The sequence below is a fragment of the Homo sapiens genome, chromosome 14 (assembly GCF_000001405.40).
Source record: "Homo sapiens chromosome 14, GRCh38.p14 Primary Assembly".
Taxonomy (NCBI): Eukaryota; Metazoa; Chordata; class Mammalia; order Primates; family Hominidae; genus Homo; species Homo sapiens.
In genome coordinates, this window is record NC_000014.9 from 85873280 (window position 1) to 85884284 (window position 11005).

An 11005-nucleotide genomic window follows, 5' to 3' on the forward strand; every position below is an offset into this window, starting at 1 on the left:
TAAATCCTCTTTCCTTCTCCCAGTGTCAATGGTGGAATAGATGCCAAAAGAGCTTTCTGCTTTTTCGCTTACTGATTGGTTTCAGATGAAACACAAAAGCAAATCTCTGAGCTTGAGCCCACTCATCCTCCACACACAGCACTCCAGGCGCTATTAACACTCCTGAGGATTCTTTTCTCATTTGCTGGCTCAGGAGTGGCCAGAAACGATTGCACCATTGTGTACCCCCACCCCCTCCAAAGCCCTTGAAAATCACTTTTCTTTTTTCTCATATCAACTTGACTTATTCTATTCCTCTTGATACAAGTAGATCAGTATAAGGATCGAAAACCAAAAGTACACAAAAATACAAATTTTTCCTTCTTAGATCCCACACACTCTGTTTCAGCTTCCTTCATGTCCTCCAGGGACCCAGTTCCATTTCAATGTCCTACCTCACCTGAGCCTGTTTGCTGGAGAGTGAGGTCATCTTGCTGGTGCATTCATTCCCCCTAATCTATCCTTGAACTTTTCAGGATCCTCATATTTATGTCTTAATTAGTTTCAGGATTTCTGGAATCTCCAAATCCTCACCCAAATATTTAGCTCTCAGCTTAACAGCACATTATTTATTAGTAGGTAGGAACTGGCCAAGTTTCCATTAGTGACATACAGAGTTCTCTTCGTTGCTTTTCATGTTGGCCCTAAATCACACATCCTACTGTAATGACTTTCTTTTCTTTAATTTTATTGGTTGGCTTAAACCTCAGGATACTTATTGATGAAGTTTTTCAGCTACCTTGAGTGTAACATAGTGCAAAGAGTGTTGTTGGTTTCTCTGGCAGCAGTAAGAGGTTTCAAAATGAGAAAGAAGAAGGTCATACCAAATCAGTACCAAAAGCCCAGATTTTTTATTCTGCTACTGACTGTAAGTGCACAGTTTGCATCTGCTGGGATGAGAAAGAGACTGATGAGAAAATGCAACATAATGAAGTATTTACGATGCCACCTCCCTTGTCAAATAACAAAAGCAAACATTATTCTCTTTAGTAAAATTATTGAAATCTAGAATGAATGTTCATTGATTTATACCAGTATACACACACACACACACACACACACACAAACACACCATAGTTGGAAATCTTCCCCTTAAGCCAAAATTACATTTTATTTTAACATTGTTTTTGCTTAAAGGATCTGATAAAACCAGATTAAAATTTTCGGAGATCGAGTTGCTTATTTCAGCATTAAACCTTTTAAAATGTTATCCATAATAATGAATATGCTACTTTCCAGCTTTACCAAACACCGTTATGTTATTATTATAGTTAATCCTCAAGAAAACCCTGATATTCAGGGATTACTGTTCCATTTTTAATAGTAAGGGGTCTGTAGGTTTTCTTGAGTCCCACTGACACACATCTTTTGTCACAAATCTATGATATTTTCCATCGGGATACCTGCTAATTTTAGTTATTTTCCAAATATTCTCTCTGCTCCATCTCCGACTCCATTCTTTAGCTGCAAAATCATGGAATAAGTAAAAATATCAAGACAAAATAAAAATGTTAAGGACAAAGGAACAGCAAAAATATTGTCTTTCTCCATATCCCAGAAACTCTCTCCTCCTCCCAGATACAGGTTTAATATGTGGCATGTATGGTGGGAATAGTCTTCATTGAGGTTAAGAGGTCTGGATGGGGAAGGACTATTGGTCCTTTAGAAGCTGTTAGTATAGACATCGTTAGATTTACGTTTACAAGGGATAGATTACTGACATTAGGTATGGCTTTAAGATGCTTTGGTTATCTGTTAATTCCTCACGTTCCAAGACTATAGAATCTTTGTATTCATTAATTTTTCTAAGAATCCAACATATTCAAGGAAGTAATATCTGATTTACTGATGAAAGTCATTTGACTAGTTTCAAGGAATTCTGAGTGCGGGCGTGAAACTGTGTCCACCTTTCTAGGAGCACCACAATGCCTTAGTAAGGAGAAACAAATGGTCTTGCTGATGAGATATGCAGTGTTTGATACATTTTCCACCAGTGGGAGATACATCGAAAGATGAAGTGAGGCACTTGGGGAGGAGACTCCAAGCTTGACTCAACGTACGAGGGTAGGGGATGTCATTTAGTGCTCCTGATGTGGACCCGGTGGGGATAGAGGTTTTGAGGGACTGTAGTCATGGAACAATCTGGCTGATGATATAACAGTGATAAATGCCTTAACAAAGCATGCATCTGAATTAGAAATGAAATAATTTGAAAGTCAATGCAGCATAGACTTTAAATTGCTTTTGGCCTACATGCTTAATACACTTGCACACTCGCATAATAATTAAGCCTGGGAGTTAAGTTCTTAGAGAGCAAAGTGATCACTCTTCCTGGACAGGCAGGAAACCTGTAATCCTTATATCCACACAGGTCTAAAAAAGTAGGTAAACTGAAAGACACCCTTGTGTCTTAAAAAGGCTGAAGCTTATGTGTATGTATGGAGGGAGCGGGAGTGAGTATGTGTTGGCTTATAAATAAAACTACCTATCCCCACAAGCTTCTCATTCATGTATGGAAATGATTAATGTCTAGGGACCAAGGATTTGCACTTCTGCAGCTCGAGCAGACTTGGTTTGATTGGATGTAGGTTCAGTGGCCATTGTTCTCTGCATAATGAGAAGAGACCTTGCATATTAAAGGTTTGCCCACTTTCCTTTTGTTGCCTCTGTTGACACCCTCTAAGGATTGTTATGAGGACTAAGTGAAACGAAGAATGAAGGTAAAACTCAGCACAACACAATAGTCTGCATCGAGTAGAAGTGCTCAGTTAATGGTAGTTGCTGAGACATTCATCAACATCATGAATAACCATAGTAAATAGACATTTAGAGCCATGAATGGACTTGCTCAAGAGAGCAATTAAATCAGTGGCCCCTGGGCTTGATGTTTTATTTCCTTTGAAAAATATTGTTGAATCCTTATTATGTGTGTTTACTGTAAGGAATACAAAGATAAGAAAGACAATTTCAACCTCAAAACAATGCATGATTCTGTGAGAGTGAAAAGAGAGGGAACATCTTGTGCATGAATAATAAAGAGAATAAGCCAAAAAGCAGGAGGGGACTGGGATAAGAGAGTGAATGCTGAGCCTATGAGTACACTTGTTCCAATTTCATATTCAAACCTAAAGTTGTGCTCCTCCTCCTAAATCATCTCCCAGTGATTTTCTTGCAAGAGTACTAGTTCCGGCCGGGCGCGGTGGCTCACGCCTGTAATCCCAGCACTTTGGGAGGCCGAGGCGGGCGGATCACGAGGTCAGGAGATCGAGACCATCCTGGCTAACACGGTGAAACCCCGTCTCTACAAAAAATACAAAAAAATTAGCCGGGCGTGGTAGCGGGCGCCTGTAGTCCCAGCTACTCGGGAGGCTGAGGCAGGAGAATGGCGTGAACCTGGGAGGCGGAGCTTGCAGTGAGCCGAGATCGCGCCACTGCACTCCAGCCTGGGCGACAGAGCGAGACTCCGTCTCAAAAAAAAAAAAAAAAAAAAAAAAAAGAGTACTAGTTCCCCTGGAGGTAGACAGAAGGACTGACGCTGTGGCTCATATTAAATCCTGTCCCAGCTCCTGGGTAAAAAGAGCAATTTATCTGAGTTTAGGGTAGTGTTGCTCAAATTATGGTCCAAAGTCTTCTGCCTCACAGATACTCAGAGTGCCTTTTAAATGCAGATCAGTTTCAAAATGTATCTCAGTTGAAACTGATCAAATGTATCTCAGTTAAGATACAGATCAAATGCATCTATTTCTAATCTGAATCTCTTGGGAGTAAAAGCCAGAGCTTATATTTGAAACCATGTCCTCAGGTGATTGTTTTACCCACCAAAATATGCAAATCAATGGTGTGGGGCAAGCAAGAATTACATTGCCAGTGATTTAAATGAGAGTCTTGGTTAGGTATGGGGATAATATTTGCAGCCTGTTTTCTATCTCTATACTGCTAAGCTTAATTAAATGTACAGTAGATATCAGAAAGGGATAAAGAAAGACTAAATGATGGAAAGAGGCGAAAAACCAAAGAAATTATCCAGGGATGATTTTGAGACCTCCCTTCTTCCCAAGGACACGTGGTAATTATATGCCGAAGACTTAAGATATAGACAGCAAATACCTAAGCACTTGCACCTTCCCTCACACCTTCAGCACCCATAGTAGTCATTACTCATAGGTAACCACACTTGCCAGCAGAGCCCTAACAGTGTCTCACAATTTGTTCCAACATATCTCTTCATGTAACCACCTTCAATCAACTGGAGTTACCACAGGTGATGAAACCTTCATGCCATACTGGGCAGACACAATTAATCCCTGTTTCCTGAAAAGAAATAAATGGGCAAAAAGTCAGTTCTTCTGCACAAAATGTCTTTGGAGGGATTTCTGGGTGTGCTTGCCCTCATTTTCCTTTCATATACTTGGTGTTATAAGACAGATGTGGGGCTAGGTCCTGTTTGGGATCACATTTCCGGAAAATAAAAACATACATTCTGAGGCTGTCAGGCTCAGAGTGAACTCTGGGGTAGGAAAGAATTCTGTGGATGGTTAAGGTGCCTCTCCTGCTAAATCTTGGTGAAAAATACTCAGTGTAAGGTAGTGGTCAAGAGACAGGTTCTGCTACCCAGCAGATGAGTCACATCCGTGACTTTCTGACAGCATGGAGAACAGGCAAGCTCAGATGCTTCCTTTTCAGCCTCCTCCTCTGTGAAATGAAGGTGATAACACCAGCTACTTCCTTGATAAATTGAGTGAATTAAATGAAAGAGGGCGTAGTGGCTGCCACATGAATGCTAGTGACTATTAATTTATGTAGATATACCTAATTGGGCTTCTTTTCTACATTAGAATGTTGAAGCTGGTTGTGGCGGCTCACATCTGTAATCCCAGTGCTTTGGGAGGCTGAGGCAAGAGGAATGCTTGAGCCCAAGAGTTCAAGACTAGCATGAGCAACAGAGTGATGCCTCATCTCTACTAAAAAGAAAAAAATTTAAATTAGCTGGTGTGGTGGTGCATGCCTGCAGTCCCCATAACTGGGGAGGATGAGGAGGGAGGATCACTGGGGCCTAGGATTTCGAGGCTGCAGTAAGCTATGATCGTGCCACTGCACTCCAGCCTGGTTGACAGAGCGAGACCCTGTCTCAAAAAAAGAAAAAAGTTGAGACCCTGGAGACAAATTAGGATATTGAGTTAAACAAACAAACAAACAAACAAACACAAAACAAAAACCACTTGGTATTATTTTTATAGTTCTAGCTTGAGTGGCAAAAAGAATCTTATTGGACTCATATATAATCCCATGCCATTCATCAGAGTGAGAAAGCCCAAATATTATTAGAGTTCAAATCCAAGTAAAAGGAAAATATGTTTTCCCTGCTGAGATCTCTGGATTATCCTAGAAGGTTTTCGATTAAATGGCTGTGACCAAGGGAGGTGGCTGAGTGACAATGTCCAACAGAAATAACTAACTATATGTCGAGAAAATGCCGTGAAAAGGATTCATACATCCTTTCAGCAATACAGTAAAAGACAGATAAGAAGGTTGTAATTCTGACTCTTTGGCTCTCCTGGCATTAGTGGCTTAAGAGGTTAACACTGTCCTAGACTTTTCTTTACAGAATTCCCTGCAATCAATTTCCAGACTTGGAATATGCTGTGGCACCTGCTCTGCTAGAGTGAGCATCTACTGGCTCTCTTCCGCTTCGTTTTGGGAAAGTAACGAACTGTTGGTTATAAACTGTTGAAAACAAATATCAGAAGGTCATTGTGCTGCTAAACTTTGATATATTGAGAAATGTGAACTTTAGCAGGACTTCTAAAGTACTGTCACGCAGGAGGCGGTAGTGTAAGTGGATTCATCTATCACTGGTGAAAACATGGCACAGCATCACTGCTTGAAGGTTGAGCATGGAAACGCTCAACCCTGATTAAACGACCATAATTTCTCAAGCCTGGGACATGGTTGGCAGACATAGGAAGCTGGGGCCTTAAAATATAAATTGTTGGAATTTATAATGCACTGTCAATCTGTCAGGGAAAAACAGTGTTGGAGTCTCTGTAAATTCACACTATCGAATAATTATTTAAACATTTTCTAAAGCCAATTTGCAAATGCATTTTGGTGGTAAGAGAAAAAATCATATTTTTTTCTGCTTTCAAAGAAATATAATGGGCAGTGTGCATAGAATGGAAATGCTTAGTGTTTCTTCAAAATTTGTGCCCGCTTTGATAGCTGGGTGATTTTTTACTAGTATTTTAAAGTATGGATTTTGTAGTTGGGATATTTAGGGATGCTGAACAGTAGAATTGTTCTTGAAATTTCAAATAGTTACACTGCAGAAATGAAAAATTACTGGTGAATGCATTTATTTTCTTCAATGAAGAAGCCTTCTGCAGATAAACTGCACCATTTCAGTTATTTCAAAGAATAGGAGAATGTGCAGTGAATTTATTGGATCAAGAAACCAAGCATGTTTCTTGATGAAACTGAGAACTGAGGCTTGGGTTAGGCTTGGAACAATCTTGAGTCACATCCCTAGAAATAAAAGTTATGTAGTTTCCTTTCTCTTTTGGACTAGTTGGCATATGTACATAGGAGTAGTTAATAAATACTAGGAAAGAAGAAATTTAATTAAGACTCTTAAGAGTGTAAGACAATGAATTGCTGATGAGGATTTGAAAGGAAATTGTACAGCTCTAAGATATGTTGTCTGGTCAAAGCAATAAGTGTTAATATAGTTCTCGTTACATGCCTTGCTCAGCATCATGGAAGATATAACAATGGGAAGACTTCCTTCAAGTAACTTAACATCTGGAGAGAGAAAACTCAAGCCAATAAGCATTCGGTATATATAACTGTATGTATATGATTGTTTCAGGAAGCAAAGGGGATCACATGTATTCTAGAAAGAAAGATAGTAATATTGGTTCAGTAGTTGGGGAAGGCTCAGTGGAGTAGGCCAGGCTTTGGAAAAACCCTGAATGATGAGGACAATTTTTAAAGTTGAAGAGAATATTCTCAAAAGTAGCTAGAGTAAAATGCATATTAGGGATTGTTGATTTAACTCCTGAGGCTGGAGGAGGGAGTTCAAAGAGGAGTTTCATGAAAGATCAGAGAAGTTACAGGATAGGATGGTAAGAGTCTATCTGGATTTGCTCTATATTTTATCATATTCTATAACTTCCCTTAATCCATTAGTCCTTAATGTGCATTTTCCTCTAGTTACTCTTTCTTCACAAAGGACCTAATATATGGTCTCACCATAACTCCCTCTACACAGTTGTACAAGGGTTCCATCTAATCCCTGTTCCTTTGGGAGGCACTCTGAAAAGGATGGACTTTCTCCTCATCACACTCTGTACATGTGTCTCCCTATGTTTTCTCTCACCGTATTATGCACCCAGGGAATCATAACCATCTTTACATACTATAAAGCACCTAACGTAACACTTTGCTTTAATAAGTACAGAGCAAATGCCAGTTGGTGGGAATTTCCAGTTCTCAATCTTTCTGTAAACAACAGAAAAGTTACATAATGTTCAGTGGATAAAGCTGGAAGTGAATGTCTTCTTCCTCAGGATTGAGTAGATGAGTGCTGCTAGATATTAGAGGCCCCTGAAGATTGGATCTGTCTTATTCATTGCTGTGTTCCCAGTGTCTTTTTGCAACACCTGGCACAGAGAGAGTGTTGAAAATGTTTGGTGAATGAATGAGTGAATAATCATAAGTGGCCACAATGCTATTCATACACTGCATGGAGCTCATGAGTGTGTCATCCCTGCACCTCTCAGGGCTATCTAGCTTTACCAGGTTCAAACAGGGGATTTTATTGAGAACAGTCAAAACCTACCAAGACAGGGTGTACACAACTCCAGGCCATTCTCCCTCTGCCTCTTTGTCCCATGGGGGCGGTTATTCATAGAGGAAGCTATAAAAGGGTAAGCTACTATAGAAGTTGACAGACAGGAACTTTATTCCAGATCTTTATTCTGAGAGTCAAAAGAACATGTCTTCTAGACACAAGAATATATAACAGGATCTTTCTTTTATCTCTAAGTCAAAGTGACTGAGATTTGCCTATAAGCTAGGCAAAATTCTGGCTATGGCTTCAGTACTGTCCTTAACCTGAACATTCTACGACTACAAATAGCATATTATCTGTATTTTCTGTGGGTCTCCATGTAACAGATTTTGGAGAGGTATGTAATTCACTTTTTCTGAAAATACTTACCTTCTGTTTGGGGTTTTAAATGAAAATAGATTCCATGATTAATGCAGAAATATGACACTAAGGTGTTTCCTGTAAAAAACAAACAAAAATACTGTTTTTGAGTTTCTAAATGATATGCCAATGGAGGTCACAAATCTCATGTGGACCAGTTATCCCCATTTAGATGATGAACTCTAGAGAAATTTAATGTGAAATTAATAATGATCATAAAAATCAGAATTTTAGTCATATTGAAGAGAGTATTTAACTTCAAAAGTTAAGTTTGTTGTACGCATTCAGAACTCGGAATACCTTTAAATTATGTACGTTCTTCTCACTATTTATTTTGTGGGTATGCTTTGGCACTTTTGGACACAGGCCTTGTGCCATATCTCACTGCGTATTGAAGAAGCAAGAAGACTTCTCCTCCGAATGTGGATACCCATGTGCTCCCACAAAGGAACAGGCCATGTAGCAGAGTTAGCAGGTGCAAGTATTCGGCCTGGTTTTGTTATACTGAATCCACATAAGGCATTCTATTCAATGTGGGGATATATCTCACTAGTTCAGAGTGATTCATTAGCACAAAGAAATAGCAGAGTGGGAACAGTTCTCAGAGCCTTTGGCAAGCATGTTAAAGCAGGCCCATGACAGATGAACTAAATGAACTAACAGCTTAAATAGCAGTTGGGAACAGGGACTGCTGAGAAATGAATGGGCTGACCTTATAACAGTGAGCAAAACTTCATGACTAGAAAACACAAACTTTTGGGCCCTTATGGGAGCATGTACCCCATTATGTAGTGTTTGAGGGGAGGAGATGTGGGCTCTACAGTTTTACATGCCGTTAATTAAACTTAGCATAGAGAGGCCACTGATGTCTACCTTACTGCCTGATTAACATACTGGGTCAAGAGCGTTAGATGTTTACCGACTGTTTTTGCATCAGAAACCGTAAGGGAAATGGCCCCTCAGAAGTACATCTATAATTCATGGACCAAATCAGAAGCTGTGCATGAAGGCTGGCATTGCTATGCATTCCCTTCCCTTATTCAAGTGGGAGCTAGCCATGCATAAGGAAGGTCACGTCATACTGTGTGATTCCATTTCTGTTTGTGTTGTTTTCAAGATATTTTGGATATCTCGAGGCATGGCCAAGGACATTGGGGGAAAATGGGAAATGCAGGTTAAATTAAAGGAGGCTTATTTACTTCAGTGGATCTTTCAAAGAGCTGCAAGTATCTAATTAGACAAAAACGAATTATTAGATTATGTAAAGACGTCTCGTAGGCACCATTATCAGATTAAATTGTAAACACATATGTGCAATGTATTTGCTTTTTATATATTTATGTTTATTTAGTATAGCTATAGCATTAGCCATGGTGGTATTTATTTTGCCCAAGTGTTTGTATTTACCTCCAATTTTATATCATGCTATATAATAGGTGGGTTTTTTGAATAATTGGTTTTTATATTTTCAAATATATGTATACTGTTTCAAGCAATCCTCAATTACAATTTTTCTGAACTAAATGGTAAACTATGCTATTTGGAAAGATTCCTTACAAACAGTTAACAATTTTAGCAAGCCATTAATATAAATTAAGTGGACAAATGAAAATAGCTTTTGATATTATTATAGAGTTTCTATTTTCAAACTCAAAGTATTAAAATGGGGATTATAAGTCACCCATGAGGACTGTGTAACTAATCAGTTTTACAATTAGATAGAAGCTCAAAACCATTCTTTTCTAAGCACTGGGGAGCAGCCTGCCAGTCTCACTAAGTAATTGTGGGGTTGAACAAATCCCTTGCCAATATTGGGGTGATGTGGCTGGCAGATGGCTGATCAGAGACTGAAATAAAACATAGATGGTAGAACATGAAATAAAAACACTATCCAGCACTATCTCTTACTGGTGCTGCAACTCCCTGCTGAATATATTTTAGTTTAATTAGTTTGAAAAGGTAAAAACTATCACTTTCTAGTAACTTAAGTCCAAATTTTAAAGTGCATACAAATTGAAAGTGACCTGCTTTTAATAACAGCTTTCAGTCTGTTGAGCATTTTCATGTCTAGGTCAGGCAATAGGATTCCAGAAAAGATAAATATTATGTGGGTTGGTGGGCTGGTTTTTTTTTTTTTTTTTTGCCTTGTATATTATAAGGTAATAAGAAATAAGATGTGTGCAATATGAAATGAGATATGTGCATGCATTGAAAAGACTGTTCATCCTCTGGTGATTGTTAGATTTGCAACTTCACCTCATGTGTAACATGAGTCTTTTTTCATACCAATTTCCAGACACATCAGCCTGGTCTTGCCTCATTTTATTTCAATGCTATTATTCTCCTTCATAGGCATATGTTTGCAAAACATCACTCTACGCCTATATTCTGGGACCATGACACTTCCCATTTTCCTTCCAACCTGATGTCACATACTCACTCAATCTAAAACCCTCACTTTACCTCCACCATAGCTAAAATCCTTCTCAGTCTGTTTTCATCAGCCTGTAACACAGGGAAGATGTACATGCCCAAGCCATCACAACAGACCAAAGGCTGTTGATTGACCACGTGGAATAGGGCACACATTCAAAAATGTCTCTACAACTGCGCAGGCTGGTTAAATGTGGGTAAATTATGCACATCTGCAAGGCAGCTGTTGCCTTCAGCTCGATCCCATTCAATGTAAAAAGCCCAGGAGGTCAAGGAGAAGAGCTTTTCAGTTCTCTGCTGTACAAACACATGGTGGTACAGGTG

The 11005-nt window shown here is 39.1% G+C and overlaps 1 annotated feature.

The window, feature by feature from the left end:
* Window positions 2468-3036: an enhancer, noted in NCBI's record as "NANOG hESC enhancer chr14:86342091-86342659 (GRCh37/hg19 assembly coordinates)". NCBI's record gives its function as "activates a minimal SCP1, AML or CMV promoter by ChIP-STARR-seq in naive H9 embryonic stem cells {active_cell/tissue: H9 hESC(naive)}" and the evidence as "EXISTENCE:reporter gene assay evidence [ECO:0000049][PMID:30033119]".